Source organism: Homo sapiens, chromosome 7, assembly GCF_000001405.40.
Source record: "Homo sapiens chromosome 7, GRCh38.p14 Primary Assembly".
Lineage (NCBI taxonomy): Eukaryota > Metazoa > Chordata > Mammalia > Primates > Hominidae > Homo > Homo sapiens.
In genome coordinates this window covers 36542828-36560881 of record NC_000007.14, presented here as the reverse complement: position 1 = coordinate 36560881, position 18054 = coordinate 36542828, and the positions used below count along the sequence as shown (strand labels likewise).

The 18054-nt window shown below is 42.2% G+C and overlaps 1 protein-coding gene across 16 annotated transcripts in view, besides 1 other annotated feature; it reads left to right on the top strand.

Moving 5' to 3' along the window:
• Nucleotides 1-18054, top strand: part of AOAH (acyloxyacyl hydrolase) — a 211554-nt gene that overhangs the window by 163613 nt on the left and 29887 nt on the right. For 13 of the 16 annotated variants that reach the window (NM_001177507.2, XM_011515334.3, NM_001637.4 and 10 more), the window contains 2 exons: nt 11407-11443; nt 12196-12270. In NM_001177507.2, the coding sequence (NP_001170978.1) occupies nt 11407-11443; nt 12196-12270 (112 nt within the window). The remainder of the gene's footprint in view (nt 1-11406; nt 11444-12195; nt 12271-18054) is intronic. The other 3 variants (XM_017012102.3, XM_011515333.3, XM_017012104.1) reach the window with 1 other exon arrangement.
• Nucleotides 11731-11900: an enhancer, noted in NCBI's record as "experimental_98398 CRE fragment used in MPRA reporter constructs". NCBI's record gives its function as "activates a minimal promoter by MPRAs in K562 erythroleukemia cells, with activity observed for both the introgressed and non-introgressed 7:36588673 variant alleles {active_cell/tissue: K562}" and the evidence as "EXISTENCE:reporter gene assay evidence [ECO:0000049][PMID:34662402]".

Below are 18054 nucleotides of genomic sequence, written 5' to 3'. Positions count from 1 at the left end.
GACTGATTACTCCTAATTTATATGGCTATGTGCATTTTAATAATTCCTAGGCAGCATTTCCCTTGAGAAGTAAAGCAAGAAGAGGATGCCCACTCTCATCACTCCTGTTCAGCATAGTACTGGAAGTCCTTGCCAGAGCAATCAGGCAAAAGAAAGATATAAAAAGCATCCAAATAAGAAAAGAAGAAGTCAAACCGTCTCTCTTCACTACAATATGATTCTTACACCTAGAAAACCCTAAAGACTACACTAAAAGGCTCCTGGAACTGATAAACAACTTTAGCAAAGTTTCAGGGTACAAAATCAATGTACAAAAATCAGTAAAATGTCTATATATCTATAACATTCAAGCTGAGAGCCAAATCAGGAACATAATCCCATTTACAATATCCCAAGAAAATAAAATACCTAGGAATACATCTAACCAAGGAGGTCAAAGACCTCTACAAGGAGAACTAAAAAACGTTGCTGGAAGAAATCATGGATGACACAAAACAAATGGAAAAATATTCCATGTTCCTGAATTGGAAGAATCAATATTGTTAAAATGGCCATACTGCCCAAAGCAATCTATAGATCCAGTGCTATTTTTATCAAGCTACCAATATCATTTTTCACAGAATTATAAAAAAACTATTCTAAAATTCATATGGAACCAAAAAAAAGCCTGAATAGACAAAGCAATCCTAAGCAAAAAGAATAAAGCTAGAGGCATCACATTACCCAACTTCAAACTATACTATAAGGCTACAGTGACCAAAACGCATGGTACTGGTTCAAAAACAGACACACAGACCAATGGTACAGAACAGAGAGTCCAGAAATAAGATAGCACACCTACAGCCATCTGACCATCAACAAAGTCAACAAAAATTGGCAATAGGGAAAGGACTCCCTGTTCAATAAATGATGTGGGGATAGCTGACAAGCCATAGGCAGAAGAATAAAATTGGACCCCTATCTTTCACCATATACAAAAATTGACTCAAATGGATTAAAGAATTAAATGTAAGACCTTAAGTATAAGAATCCTAGAAGAAAACCTAGGAAACACCATTCTAGACATTGGTCTTGGGAAAAAAATTATGACTAAGTCTTCAAAAGCAATTGCAACAAAAACAAAAATTGACAAGTGGGACCTAATTAAAGAGCTTCTGGACAGCAAAAGAAACCATCAACAGAGTAAACAGACAACCTACAAAATATTCACAAATGATGCATCCAATCAAGGTCGAATATCCAGAATCTGTAAGGAATTTAAACAATTGAACAAGCAAAAACCAAATAACCCCATTAAAAAAATGGGCAAAAGACATGAACAGATACTTCTCAAAAGAAGACATATAAGCAGCCAACAAGCATATGAAAAAAGACACAACATCACTAATCATCAGAGAAATGCAAATCAAAACCACAATGAAATACCATCTCACACCAGTCAGAATGGCTATTATTACAAAGTCAGAAAACAACAGATGCTGACATGGCTGCAGAGAAAAAGGAATGGTTATACGCTACTGGTGGGAATGTAAATTAGTTCAGCCACTGTGGAAAGCAGTTTGGAGATTTCTCAAAGAACTTTGAGAACTACCATTTGACCCAGCAATCCTGTTACTGGGTATATACCCAAAAGAAAATCAATTATTCTACCAAAAGGGCATATGTACCCATATATTCATCACAACACTATTCACAATAGCAAAGACATGGAATCAACCTAGATGCCCATAACAGTGGATTGAATAAAGAAAATGTGGGAGGAGCCAAGATGGCTGAATAGGAACAGCTCTGGTCTACAGCTGCCAGCGTGAGTGACACAGAAGATGGGTGATTTCTGCATTTCCATCTGAGGTACCGGGTTCATCTCACTAGGGAGTGCCAGACAGTGGGTGCAGGACAGTGGGTGCAGCGCACCATGTGCGAGCCAAAACAGGGCGAGGCATTGCCTCACTCGGGAAGTGCAAGGGGTCAAGGAGTTCCCTTTCCTGGTCAAGGAAGTGGGTGACAGACGGCACCTGGAAAATCGGGTCACTCCCACCCCAATACTGTGCTTTTCCAACGGGCTTAGGAAACAGCGCACCAGGAGATTATATCCTGCACATGGCTCAGAGGGTCCTATGCCCACGGAGTCTCGCTGATTGCTAGCACAGCAGTCTGAGATCAAACTGCAAGGCAGCAGCGAGGCTGGGGGAGGGGCTCCCGCCATTGCCCAGGCTTGCTTAGGTAAACAAAGCAGCTGGGAAGCTCGAACTGGGTGGAGCCCACCACAGCTCAAGGAGGCCTGCTGGCCTCTGTAGGCTCCACCTCTGGGGGCAGGGCACAGACAAACAAAAAGACAGCAGTAACCTCTGCAGACTTAAATGTCTTTGAAGAGAGCAGTGGTTCTCCCAGCACACAGCTGGAGATCTGAGAACAGGCAGACTGCCTCCTCAAGTAGGTCCCTGACCCCTGACCCCCGAGCAGCCTAACTGGGAGGCACCCCCCAGTAGGGGCAAACTGACACCTCACACGGCCGGGTACTCCTCTGAGACAAAACTTCCAGAGGAACGATCAGACAGCAGCATCCACCATTCACGAAAATCCACTGTTCTGCAGACACTGCTGCTGATACCCAGGCAAACAGGGTCTGGAGTGGACTTCTAGCAAACTCCAACAGACCTGCAGCTGAGGGTCCTGTCTGTTAGAAGGAAAACTAACAAACAGAAAGGACATCCACACCAAAAACCCATCTGTACATCACCATCATCAAAGACCAAAAGTAGATAAAACCACAAAGATGGGGAAAAAACAGAGCAGAAATACTGGAAACTCTAAAAAGCAGAGCGCCTCTCCTCCTCCAAAGGAACACAGCTCCTCACCAGCAATGGAACAAAGCTGGACGGAGAATGACTTTGACGAGTTGAGAGAAGAAGGCTTCAGACGATCAAACTACTCCGAGCTACAGGAGGAAATTCAAACCAAAGGCAAAGAAGTTGAAAACTTTGAAAAAAATTTAGACGAATGTATAACTAGAATAACCAATACAGAGAAGTGCTTAAAGGAGCTGATGGAGCTGAAAGCCAAGGCTCGAGAACTACGTGAAGAATGCAGAAGCCTCAGGAGCCGATGCAATCAACTGGAAGAAAGGGTATCAGCGATGGAAGATGAAATGAATGAAATGAAGCAAGAAGGGAAGTTTAGAGAAAAAAGAATAAAAAGAAACGAACAAAGCCTCCAAGAAATATGGGACTATGTGAAAAGACCAAATCTACGTCTGATTGGTGTACCTGAAAGTGACAGGGAGAATGGAACCAAGTTGGAAAACACTCTACAGGATATTATCCAGGAGAACTTCCCCAATCTAGCAAGGCAGGCCAACATTCAGATTCAGGAAATACAGAGAACACCACAAAGATACTCCTCGAGAAGAGCAACTCCAAGACACATAATTGTCAGATTCACCAAAGTTGAAATGAAGGAAAAAATGTTAAGGGCAGCCAGAGAGAAAGGTCGGGTTACCCACAAAGAGAAGCACATCAGACTAACAGCTGATCTCTCAGCAGAAACTCTACAAGCCAGAGGAGAGTGGGGGCCAATATTCAACATTCTTAAAGAAAAGAATTTTCAACCCAGAATTTCATATCCAGCCAAACTAAGCTTCATAAGTGAAGGAGAAATAAAATCCTTTACAGATAAGCAAATGCTGAGAGATTTTGTCACCACCAGGCCTGCCCTAAAAGAGCTCCTGAAAGAAGCACTAAACATGGAAAGGCACAACTGGTACCAGCTGCTGCAAAATCATGCCAAAATGTAAAGACCATTGAGACTAGGAAGAAACTGCATCAACTAACGAGCAAAATAACCAGCTAATATCATAATGACAGGATCAAATTCACACATAACAATATTAACTTTAAATGTAAATGGACTAAATGCTCCAATTAAAAGACACAGACTGGCAAATTGGATAAAGAGTCAAGAGCCATCAGTGTGCTGTATTCAGGAAACCCATCTCACGTGCAGAGACACACATAGGCTCAAAATAAAAGGATGGAGGAAGATCTACCAAGCAAATGGAAAACAAAAAAAGGCAGGGGTTGCAATCCTAGTCTCTGATAAAACAGACTTTAAACCAACAAAGATCAAAAGAGACAAAGAAGGCCATTACATAATGGTAAAGGGATCAATTCAACAAGAAGAGCTAACTATCCTAAATATATATGCACCCAATACAGGAGCACCCAGATTCATAAAGCAAGTCCTGAGTGACCTACAAAGAGACTTAGACTCCCACACAATAATAATGGGAGACTTTAACACCCCACTGTCAACATTAGACAGATCAATGAGACAGAAAGTTAACAAGGATACCCAGGAATTGAACTCAGCTCTGCACCAAGTGGACCTAATAAACATCTACAGAACTCTCCACCCCAAATCAGCAGAATATACATTTTTTTCATCACCACACCACACCTATTCCAAAATTGACCACATAGTTGGAAGTAAAGCTCTCCTCAGCAAATGGAAAAGAACAGAAATTATAACAAACTGTCTCTCAGACCACAGTGCAAACAAACCAGAACTCAGGATTAAGAAACTCACTCAAAACCGCTCAACTACATGGAAACTGAACAACCTGCTTCTGAATGACTACTGGGTACATAACGAAATGAAGGCAGAAATAAAGATGTTCTTTGAAACCAACGAGAACAAAGACACAACATACCAGAATCTCTGGGACACATTAAAAGCAGTGTGTAGAGGGAAATTTATAGCACTAAATGTCCACAAGAGAAAGCAGGAAAGATCCAAAATTGACACCCTAACATCACAATTAAAAGAACTAGAAAAACAAGAGCAAACACATTCAAAAGCTAGCAGAAGGCAAGAAATAACTAAAATCAGAGCAGAACTGAAGGAAATAGAGACACAAAAAACCCTTCAAAAAATCAATGAATCCAGGAGCTGGTTTTTGAAAGGATCAACAAAATTGATAGACCGCTAGCAAGACTAATAAGGAAAAAAGAGAGAAGAATCAAATAGACGCAATAAAAAACGATAAAGGGGATATCACCACCGATCCCACAGAAATACAAACTACCATCAGAGATTACTACAAACACCTCTACGCAAATAAACTAGAAAATCTAGAAGAAATGGATAAATTCCTTGACACATACGCTCTCCCAAGACTAAACCAGGAAGAAGTTGAATCTCTGAATAGACCAATAACAGGAGCTGAAATTGTGGCAATAATCAATAGCTTACCAACCAAAAAGAGTCCAGGACCAGATGGATTCACAGCCGAATTCTACCAGAGGTACAAGGAGGAACTGGTACCATTCCTTCTGAAACTATTCCAATCAATAGAAAAAGAGGGAATCCTCCCTAACTCATTTTATGAGGCCAGCATCATCCTGCTACCAAAGCCAGGCAGAAACACAACCAAAAAAGAGAATTTTAGACCAATATCCTTGATGAACATTGATGCAAAAATCCTCAATAAAATACTGGCAGACCGAATCCAGCAGCACATCAAAAAGCTTATCCACCATGATCAAGTGGGCTTCATCCCTGGGATGCAAGGCTGGTTCAGTATGCGCAAGTCAATAAATGTAATCCAGCATATAAACAGAACCAAAGACAAAAACCACATGATTATCTCAATAGATGCAGAAAAGGCCTTTGACAAAATTCAACAACCCTTCATGCTAAAAACTCTCAATAAATTAGGTATTGATGGGATGTATCTCAAAATAATAAGAGCTATCTATGACAAACCCACAGCCAATATCATACTGAATGGGCAAAAACTGGAAGCATTCCCTTTGAAAACTGGCACAAGACAGGGATGCCCTCTCTCACCACTCCTATTCAACATAGTGTTGGAAGTTCTGGCCAGGGCAATTAGGCAGGAGAAGGAAATAAAGGGTATTCAATTAGGAAAAGAGGAAGTCAAATTGTCCCTGTTTGCAGACGACATGATTGTATATCTAGAAAACCCCATTGTCTCAGCCCAAAATCTCCTTAAGCTGATAAGCAACTTCAGCAAAGTTTCAGCATACAAAATCAATGTACAAAAATCACAAGCATTCTTATACACCAATAACAGACAAACAGAGAGCCAAATCATGAGTGAACTCCCATTCACAATTGCTTCAAAGAGAATAAAATACTTAGGAATCCAACTTACAAGGGACGTGAAGGACCTCTTCAAGGAGAACTACAAACCACTGCTCAATGAAATAAAAGAGGATACAAACAAATGGAAGAACATTCCATGCTCATGGGTAGGAAGAATCAATATTGTGAAAATGGCCATACTGCCCAAGGCAATTTGTAGATTCAATGCCATCGCCATCAAGCTACCAATGACTTTCTTCACAGAATTGGAAAAAACTACTTTAAAGTTCATATGGAACCAAAAAAGAGCCCACATCACCAAGTCAAACCTAAGCCAAAAGAACAAAGCTGGAGGCATCATGCTACCTGACTTCAAACTATACTACAAGGCTACAGTAACCAAAACAGCATGGTACTGGTACCAAAACAGAGATATAGATCAATGGAACAGAACAGAGCCTTCAGAAATAACACCGCATATCTACAACTATCTGATCTTTGACAAACCTGAGAAAAACAAGCAATGGGGAAAGGACTCCCTATTTAATAAATGGTGCTGGGAAAACTGGCTAGCCATATGCAGAAAGCTGAAACTGGATCCCTTCCTTACACCTTATACAAAAATTAATTCAAGATGGATTAAAGACTTAAACATTAGACCTAAAACCATAAAAACCCTAAATGAAAACCTAGGCATTACCATTCATGACATAGGCATGGGCAAGGACTTCATGTCTAAAACACCAAAAGCAATGGCAACAAAAGCCAAAATTGACAAATGGGATCTAATTAAACTAAAGAGCTTCTGCACAGCAAAAGAAACTACCATCAGAGTGAACAGGCAACCTACAAAATGGGAGAAAATTTTCCCAACCTACTCATCTGACAAAGGGCTAATATCCAGAATCTACAATGAACTCAAACAAATTTACAAGAAAAAACAAACAACCCCATGAAAAAGTGGGCAAAGGATATGAACAGACACTTCTCAAAAGAAGACACTTATGCAGCCAAAAGACAGATGAAAAAATGCTCATCACTGACCATCAGAGAAATGCAAATCAAAACCACAATGAGATACCATCTCACACCAGTTAGAATGGCGATCATTAAAAAGTCAGGAAACAACAGGTGCTGGAGAAGATGTGGAGAAATAGGAACACTTTTACACTGTTGGTGGGACTGTAAACTAGTTTAACCATTGTGGAAATCAGCGTGGCGATTCCTCAGGGATCTAGAACTAGAAATACCATTTGACCCAGCCATCCCATTACTGGGTATACATCCAAAGGATTATATATCATGCTGCTATAAAGACACATGCACACGTATGTTTATTGCGGCACTATTCACAATAGCAAAGACTTGGAACCAACCCAAATGTCCAACAATGATAGACTGGATTAAGAAAATGTGGCACATATACACCATGGAATACTATGCAGCCCTAAAAAATGATGACCTTTGTAGGGACATTCATTCATGTCCTTTGTAGGAACATGGATGAAATTGGAAATCATCATTCTCAGTAAACTATTGCAAGGACAAAAAACCAAACACCGCATGTTCTCACTCATAGATGGAAATTGAACAATGAGAACACATGGACACAGGAAGGGAAACATCACACTCTGGGGACAGTTGTGGGGTGGGGGGAGGGGGGAGGGATAGCATTGGGAGATATACCTAATGCTAGATAACGAGTTAGTGGGTGCAGCGCACCAGCATGGCAGATGTATACATATGTAAGTAACCTGCACATTGTGCACATGTACCCTAAAACTTAAAGTATAATAATAATAAAAAAAGAAAAAAAAAAAGAAAATGTGGTGCATATACACCATGGAATTCTATGCAGCCATAAAAAGAACTAAATCATGTCGTTGCTAGTAACATGGAGGCAGCTGAAGGCCATTATCCTAAGCGAATTAATGTAGAAACAGAAAACCAAATACCATATGTTCTCACTTACAAGTAGGAGCTAAACAATGGATACTCATGGACATAAAGATGGCAAGAATAGGCACAAGACTACTAGAGGTGGGGAGGCATGGAGGGGAGCAAGGGTTGAAAATGACAGTCAGAGCAGCGATTATTAAAAAGTCAAGAAACAGATGCTGGCGAGGTTGTGGAGAAATAGGAATGCTTTTACGCTGTTGGTGGGAATGTAAATTAGTTCAACCATTGTGGAGGACAGTGTGGCACTTCCTCAAAGATTTAGAACCAGAAATACCATTTGACCCAGCAATCCCATTATGGTTATATACCCAATGGGATATAAATCATTCTGTTATAAAGATACATGCATGTGTATGTTCATTGCAGCACTATTCATGATAGCAAAGAGATGAAATCAACCCAAATACCCATTGATGATAGACTGGATAAAGAAAATGTGGTACACATACACCACAGAACACTATGCAACCATAAAAAGGAATGAGATCATGTTCTTTGCAGGGACATGGGTGGAGCTGGAAACCTTTATCCTCAGCAAACTAACACAGGAACAGAAAACCAAACATCATATGTTCTCACTTATGATTGGTAGCTGAACAATGAGAACACTTGGACACATGAAGGGGAACAACACATGCTGAGGCCTGTTGTGGGAGTGCTGGGCTTAATACCTAGGTGATGGCTTGATAGGTGCAGCAAACCACCATGGCACATATTTACCTATGTAACAAACCTACACATGTATCCTGGAACTTAAAATAAAAAATAAAGAAAATTACCTATTGGGTCTGCTATGCTCAGTACCTGGGTGATGGGATCAATTGTCCCCCAAACCTCAGCATTACACAATATACCCAGGTAACAGAAGTGCACCTGTATCCCCTGAATCAAAAGTAAAAGTTGAAATTAAAATAATAATAATGATTCCTTGCCTCACTACAAAAAAGAAAGAAGATGATATAGTCATTTCTAAAAAAAATTAAACATAGTATTACAATACAGCCCAGCACTTTCAGTTAGATATACCATACGTCCAAAACACTTGAAAGCAGGGACTATCCATAGCAGCGTTATTCACAACAACCAAAAGGTGGAAACAACCCAAATGGCCATCAAAGAATGAATGGATAAACAAAATGTGTTATGAATGAAGCTTGAGGACATTATACTGAGTAAAATAAACCAGACCCAAAAGGACAAGTATGACATGAGCCATCTACATGAGGTGCCTAGAATAGTTAAATGCGTAAGGGCAGAAAGTAGGAGGGTGGCTATCAGGGACTGGAGGGAGGAGTTAGTGGAAAGTTATTCTTTAATGCATTTTGAGTTTCGGTTTGGAATGATGGAAAAGTTCTGGAGATGGGTGGTGATGATGGTTGCACAACAATGTAAATGAACTGAATGCCACTGAATTGTACACTCAAAAGGGATGGAAAGATGAAATGAGGCCAGATGCGGTGGCTCACACCTGTAATCCCAGCACTTTGGGAGGCCAAGGCAGGCAGATCATGAGGTCAGGAGTTCGACACCAGCCTGACCAACATGGTGAAACCCCATCTCTACTAAAAATACAAAAACTAGCCAAGCATGGTGGCACATGCCTGTAATCGCAGCTACTCAGGAGGCTGAGGCAGGAGAATCACTTGAACCCAGGAGGCAGAGATTGCAGTAAGCCAAGATCGCACCACTGCACTCCAGCCTGGGCAACAGAGCAAGACTCTGTCTAAAAAAAAAAAAAAAAGAAAGAAATGAGATGTACATTTTACCATAATAAAATGGAAATAAAGCAATATTTATTTAATGTGCTAACATTTCCTGAATCAACCAAGAGAACATCAGTGCTGCCTGTACAGCTTGCCACTAGCTGCATGTGACAAAGAGGCAATCATTGCATAGCTACACAGCTTCAGTGAGACACAGGCCAGCATACCCTTCATGGCTACACGCTGCCCTTTTTCCCACGTGGAACTGGAAGAACATACCTGGGTCTCCGGTAAAATGCACTTATCCCCAAGCTTCCAAGGCTGGAAGTTATAGAAGAATCTTCCTATGGAAAGGGGCAACTGGATGGTATTTCTCCAACTCGGTCCACCGAGTTGCACCACCCACCTGACAATCACTTGCTTATTTCTAGCAGATCTGTCTCTTGGGGACAAAAAGACAGTACACTGGTTTGGGTTAACTCTTTCTCAACTACAGCCTAGAGGAGCACTGTCCACAGGAAGCCAGAGCTCAGGATGGCAGACGGAAGGGACTGGTATGAACTGCAGTTCTTCGAATGAGTACCTGTGTGGCTTTGGGCAAGCCACTTAGGTGGGCCTCAGTTTCCTAATTTAAAAGTGGGAATACAACAGTAGCTACCTCACACAATTGTACCACAGCTTAAATGAGCTGTAAAAGTTTAACAGCACCTAGAATAAAATAAGTATTCAACAAATATGATTTTCTTTTTTTTTTTTTTGAGACAAGTCTCTCTCTGGTCACCCAGGCTGGAGTGCAGCAGCATGATCTCAGCTCACTGCAACCTCTGCCTCCCAGGTTCAAGCAATTCTCCTGCGTCAGCCTCCCGAGTAGCTGGGATTACAGGCGCACGCCACCACGCCTGGCTAATTTTTTTGTATTTTTAGTAGAGACAAGGTTTCGCCATGTTGGCCAGGCTGGTCTCGAACTCCTGACCTCAAGTGATCCGCCCGCCTCAGCTTCCCAAAGTGCTGGGATTACAGGTGTGAGCCACCACGCCCGGTCTGGGTTTTCATATAAGAGATATGTTACAGGTGGTAACGGGGATTGGGGCAGGATGGTCATGCATATCATTACAAGAGTTGAAATATATCAACTCTACAATCTGAACCTTGTGTTGACCAGACAGCCTGCGGGAGCCTTGGGAGTGTGCAAGAATAATAGGAGGAGATTAAATGGGGCTCTCCAAGGAGGTGGGTAATTCTCGTAACATTCTTTTCGTTTTCCTCTAATTCTTCAACTCATTCTTGAATATTTTCGGTAGTTTGTCTCTTTGGTAGTAGATACATACTTTTTTTCTCACATCTACTAGAAGATTTACTCATTTATGCTTAGGAAATGTCTGAAGACCCATGAATCCAAATAAATTTTGGTTTTGTTAATATACTGCTAAATAAACAGAAAAGCCCTTAAGGAGAGTTCCAGGATTAAACACTACAGAAACTGATTGGAAGAAAATTATTTCCATCAATGTGTTGGTCAGAACAACCTTTGCCCGAACAGTAATGCCGCTTTCATGAGTTCAGTCAATCAGACTCCCATATTGATAGTGTGAAATTGAACTCACTAACTTTAATTGTTTTCTTAATTTTAATTATTCAGGTGCATCTTCCCGAAACCTGAAGAAATTTATAGAAAGGTAAGCAGAAGATAAGAAGTTGTTTTTAATTTGGTTTCTCATTTTGAATAAGGAATGAAAACTCTGTTATTACCCCATAATCATTTTTACTGAGCATAAATAGCTTGTTAGTCACTATCCAAACTCAAGGATATCACTCCTTGGGCCAGTGAGCATAGAAAGTGATTAATTTGCATATGTCCTCAAAGAAGGGTGATAAAAATGCATAGAGAGTTGGTAAAACTTAGCTCTGACAGACAAAAGGATGATGTCATATCCCTGCTTTATGAATGAGAAAACATTTTTTATGCTTATTTGGGGCTTGAAATTCAGAAGCAAGGCTCGAGGTGTCCTGACTGGAAGCCTCAAGAAGCCTTTGCCTTTTCAAAGTTGACTATGGGTCCACGGCTGCCAGGTTATCCTAAGAACATGGACATAAGGAACCCAATAACTCGCCTGTGCTTATTGATGCAATTGCTGTGAAAGATGCCAAGAAGATAGCATTGTGTCTATTTACCCAGGACCTCAATCCATTCTTTTCAATTTTATGCATTTATGTGGCCTTTCTCTAATAGGCAAGTGGGATAATGATTATAGAGAATAAATGGGAGATGGGAATGGTGGTTGGCTGTACTAGAATGAAAGAAAAATAGCAAAAAGTTGCCAAGAGGGTGGTCATACCAAGATTGTTTTCAAAGGCCCAGCCTGTGTCACTGGCTACAAAGCTAGGTTTCCAAGTATCTGACATTCAGATTCCATCTATGCCTTCTCAGCTTGTCTAGAAACAAGGTGTTGGACTATCCCGCCATCGTTATATATGCCATGATTGGAAATGATGTCTGCAGTGGGTGAGTTATTGAGAAAAAGTATTTTCAAGATTCTTTGGCTCTGGGCTCTTCCCCACCCTCTCCTCACCAACTCCACTCCATTATAGCAGCCTGCTGTTCAGCTGAATTTCTCTATCTTAGAAGCACGGCCGGGCACAGGGGCTCACACCTATAATCCCAGCACTTTGGGAGGCCGAGGTGGGCAGATCACCTGAGGTCAGGAGTTGGAGACCAGCCTGGCCAACATGGTGAAACCCCGTCTCTACTAAAAATACAACAATTAGCTGGGCATGGTGGCGTGTGCCTGTAATCTCAGCTACATGAGAGGCTGAGGCAGCAGAATCACTTGAACCCAGGAGACAGAGGTTGCCATGAGCTGAGATCGTGCCACTGCACTCCAGCCTGAGCGACGGAGCAAGACTCTATCTCAAAAAAAAGCAAGTCCTAGACACGTGTGAAATCAACAGTACCAATCTGTCACGCTGAAAGCCTCTTTTGAAAATATCTGCTCCATTAATGATCAACTCTGATGTAACAACAAATGGGTGTGTCCTGATCAGTTATATCACAAGAAATGTGCTACTATTCACTGAGAACCCAAGATTGGGAATTGTGATTTTTTTTAATAAAATAAGGCAGAAGCACAGTTACCCCATAAGAACATCGATCTCACTCATATTCTGATCTACTTTACTTCCTCATGTGGAAGAGACAGCTTAGACGCACAGACCTACAGCATTTGCAAAGAAACTGCGGATAACTCATGGGCAATCCTATCTATGCCCATGGCCCATAGCAAGAAGGTGATTTTGCTAAACTGCTGGTATTGGTAGTAACTTCAAAATGGTGAATTCCTTAGTTCCTATATAACATTTGGGGAGGTTTCTCAAAATCTGTGTACACCCCTAAGAATATGATGCATGTATGAATGCCATCTGTCCTGTGATTGTGGCCAAAAAAAAAATGGTGAGACAGGATTTAGAGCAACTCCCCAGTAGCAATAGCCACCCACTCACTATTTTAGGAAACAGGAAAGTAAGGCCAAACGAGGTTCACGATTTGCCCGAGGCAACAGGGTTGATTAATGGCAGAGCTGGACTCCACCCCAACTGTGCTAGAAGTGGGCCATCCTGCTCACTCCGCCTGTTTGCTTTCCTGTATTTCATACGCCATGCTTTCCAAGCCTGTGCTGAAAACAAAACTCAATAGTATTAAAGTGTGTTTGCCCGCACAGATAAAATTCAGATGGCAAAGGAGATGCAGACATAATCAGTGAAGTGTGTTCAGGGCAGGAGATACCACAATGATCCAGAGACTCTGATACGCCAGATGTCACCTTGGTGCCCTTAGGCTGGTTTACTGCTGTCCCCAGAACCCCAAGTTGGCCAAGGCTACATTCTGGGCACCAAGGTCTGTGAAGAGACACCGGGGACTTTCCAGTAAATGGCAAACACCCTTTAAGGACTGCCATGAACCAAGAGGTACATCACTCTATGTCATTCCATCCTCCCAGCAGCCCTAAGAGGCAAGGATGATGGTCCCATTTTACAGATGGGAAAACTGATTTGGCAAGGATAAGGAACTTGCCTGTTCTGGTATTGAGCATCAAAGCTGGGAGCCAAACCAGGTTATCTAACCAAATTCCATTCCCTGTCTATAGTCCACACTGTCTTATTTCCTTTCTTTGACTCATTCACTTTTTAAAATATACAGTGAGCACCACGATGTGCCAAGCACTGTGCCAGGCTCTAGGATATGGATACAATGACAAAGAAGCCACAGTCCCTGACATCAAGGAGCTAATGGAAGAGGAAACACCATGCTTCAGGCTCTAGCTGCCATCACGAAACAGAACAAAGCTATGGTCAGACCAGCCATTGCTCCCCCAGCCCCCAGAGCATGTCCTCCAGAGAGGAACAGAGAGCAAACTGACTATACTGAATAAAGAACATGTGCAGAAAGAGACTCTGGCTCCAAAAGCCAAAATCCCTGAAACTGTACTTTTCCAGCAAAACCTGCTTACCCAGATCCCTCCAGCCCAGTCCTACTTTTCCTTTCCCAAAGAGCTAAAGGGCAGGCAGACATCAGCCAGAGACCTGTGCCAGCCTCTCCCCTGCTGGAGATCTGGGTAGAGAAGCAGCAAGCATTTGGGTGAAAGAACAGAGTTGGCAGTATGGGATGTCCCTGTGGTGCCCACTTTGTGATGTCCTGTGGAGGGGTTAAAAAAATAAAGACAGATGGCAACTATATCTCCCCATCTGCCAGAACGTCAAGGTGGAGTAGATTTCCCAAAATGAGCAAATGGATTTTATAAAAAGCTCAAGCAGCAAGGAGTTACATAATTAAGTTTGTCCTGGAACAAGTTTTAGGATATTTGCTTGACGTTTTTCTTTTCTTTTTCTATGACAATGCTAGCTCTTACTGAAGTAACACATTTATGTGCTTTCTTCTCAATTCTCTAAACTCATCCAGTTACTCAACAAATACTGGTTAAATGAGTGAGGGTCACGATTGGAAGATAGCTTTTAGCATCAGGAAGTCAAAAAGAAAGATCACATAGAGAACCTGGCTTTCTCATTGTAACCCTGCTCAATTTGATTTAGGCTAACTCAGCTTCCTTTGCGCTTTTCCTATCACTGCCCTTGAGGGCTATGTAATGTGAATGATATGGAAGGAGAAACATTCCTGAAAACAAGGCAAATGTTGGGAAGCTACAGCAGCAGAACCTTGGGGTGGCGGAGGCAGTGGTGGGAAATGGGAATGGCCTCAGAACGTCCAATCATAAAGGCCAGTGACAATCCTTTGCCAACATCCCAGCGCAGCATCCCTGAAACGAACATGGTAATTGCTGGAAATTCCATAGAATTATACAAGCATCTAGCACTAGCCCCATAAATGGATATGGTTTCATTTGTTACAGTGGACAATTATGGGACAGATGGCATTCATACAAGCATCATATTCTTAGGAGTATACACAGAAAGTATAAATTATACATTTTCATCTTATGGAGAGAGCCAGAACCACCCACACAGGGTGTCTGTGCCCATCTGCCCCCAACCATTGTTTTTCTTCAATGCCAACGCTTCAGGTTACACCCTGGGCAGTTGACCAGCACTGAATTAAGAGGAAGCCAGCCGAGGCACTGACAGGTTGCAGGCCCCAATGAGCCTGGACTAGTGAGAAACAATCCATGCTATTTATTCAGATGATAGAAAAGCCAGCAGGGAAGGGAATGGAAAGAGCTCCTGCTGCTCAGAGGAATTCTCTCTCCCAGACTCTTCAGTGAGAGACATGGGTAGCAAAGGGAATGATAAGGAAGTTCCAACCAGCCAGCATGTTCCAGGCCACACCCACTTTTAAGGGATGTTTAATGTATCTCTATGCATGGGGTAATATGGAAGTCCTCATCCCATTCCCAGTCTGTATCAAGATGCCTCTTCTCCCCAGCTACTCAGGAGGCTAAAGTGGGAGGATAGCTTGAGCCCAGGAGTTCAACCCTGCAGTGAGCTGTGATCATACCACTGCCCTCCAGCCTGGGTGATAGAGCGAGACCCTGTCTCTATTTAAAAAAAAAAAAAAGATTTCTCTTCAAGGGGATTGGATGGGAGCCCAACAATGTGATTGCAACTGGCTGGCATGAAGAAAAGGGCTAACCCTCTTACCTGGGTGTTTCAAAAACACAAATGCTAGCTGTGAGTGAGGTGTGAGCACTTGATCACTACAGTGATCTGGGCTTTAGCTATGGTTCCAGGAAGCTGGTTTTCTGCACAGGCTGATCAGTTTCTTCCTTGGAAGGGACACCTCTCTCTAGCACCAGCCAGGTGAAATCTGGCTGGCTTACCTGCCAGGGTAATGAAATGATCAGGCTTATTTTGCCTGATCAGACACAATTCATTAGGGCGGGACAGGCTTCAGAGCCACCTTCAGGAGTGAGGCTCTTCATCTGTTCCCAGCCCGGCCATTTGTTTCTGACATGTGTGAGAGCATGTCAGTGAGCACCAGTTTCTCTCTCATTATTTTCCCCAGTGTGGCCCCTGTGCCACAGGCTGGTTTTCACATCTTCTCTGTTAGCTGAGCACTCTCGATCTCTCACCTATGCATCTGAGTGTCTGGGGTGAGCTCGCTGGTGTGTGAGAAGGGGTGCTGGGACCCTGGAGTCGGCAGACAAATCCGGGGTGGCAGGTGCCTGGGACACCTGGGTTGAAAAGGGTTAGACACCTTCAGCTCAGCCCATTCGTCCTTTGGCAGACACCAGAGAGACCTAGGAGATAGTTCTCAACCACTAGGGTTCTTTGGTCTCCAGAATACTAACACAAAGTCTCCCCCAAACATCACCAGAGGGGAAAAAGTACACAGATCAAAATGGCATTGAAAAATTTTCAGGGGGCCGGGCGCAGTGGCTTATGCCTGTAATCCCAGCATTTTGGGAGGCTGAGGCAGGCAGATCACGAGGTCAAGAGATTGAGACCATCCTGGCCAACATGGTAAAACCCTGTCTCTACCAAAAATAGAAAAATTAGCTGGGTGTGGTGGTGCTCATCTGTAGTCCTAGCTACTTGGGAGGCTGGGGCAGGAGAATCACTTGAACCCGGGAGGCAGAGGTTGCAGTGAGCGAGATCGCACCACTGCACTCCAGCCTGGGCAACAGAGTGAGACTCCATCTCAAAAAAAAAAAAAAAAAAGAAAGAAAGAAAGAAAAAAGAAAAAGAAAAGAAAACTTTTCAGGGACAGAAGTCAAAAGCCACCTTCTATGGCATCTGGGAGGGGTGATCGTCCCATGAATCACATAGACTCCCTTGCCCTTACCTGAGCTAAGAGTTGGTTGATTTTGCTATGCAAATTAAAAGTAAATTATGTAGTTGTACAAGGTGGAACAAAGATAACTGGAGAATGTTCCATTAGCAACACCAAGGCTTATATTTTGATTTCACTTAGCAATTAGCCATGTTGATTATGCTTGCTTAATTTGTGGGTGCCCTTTCATAAATACAAATTAGCTCAGATTCTTCGTTTAGCATCAGGGCTGTGCCTCTAACCGAAAAAAAAAATTATTCAGTGTGGATTTGGGGAGACTTTGTCCATCTTAACTCATCTTGCCCTTATGTGGTTGGAGAACATTAGCTCAGCATAATTGCTTTGTGCCAAAGCGTGGCTGTATCAGCAGGAAAAAAAAAAGTGTGGCAAGGCAAAAGTGAATAGGCAGTATTTGCCAGCTTTACCAGTGCCAGAAGAAAGGATATAGACACCCAACTTGCCTTTCATTTCACCCTTGCTGTTACACTTCAAACACACAGTGAATATAGAACCTAGATACTTGGGGCAGGTTCTTCAGTGCTGCTTCTGTGCATATGGGAATCAAGTCAAAGCCCCTCCCCACGCTTCTGCTCTAGTAGGTAGGCAACCTAGTCGCAAATCGTCATAGCTGGTTTTTATCAGGTAGGAAGATTTTTATTTTTAAAATAGTGTAATTTTTTCATGACAATGGAAAACATGAAATTAGCATGCAGTTCTATACCCTGAGGGTTTGTAAAATTAGACATCTTTTTCTCTCCCCCCTTAAGAGACTCTAGCGATCCATGACATAGTTTAGAAGCACATACACCAACCATAACTGCCACCCTACTGGCTACCCCCATGGCACCAAAAGTATTGTTGTAGTCAACAATACTTTAATACTTTTTAGCCATCTTTCTATATTAATACATACAAATTACTTCTTTTTTTTTATTCAGGTGAAATTCACATAATGTAAGACTAACCATTCTAAAGCAAAAATTCAGTGGCATTTCCAGTTCACAATGT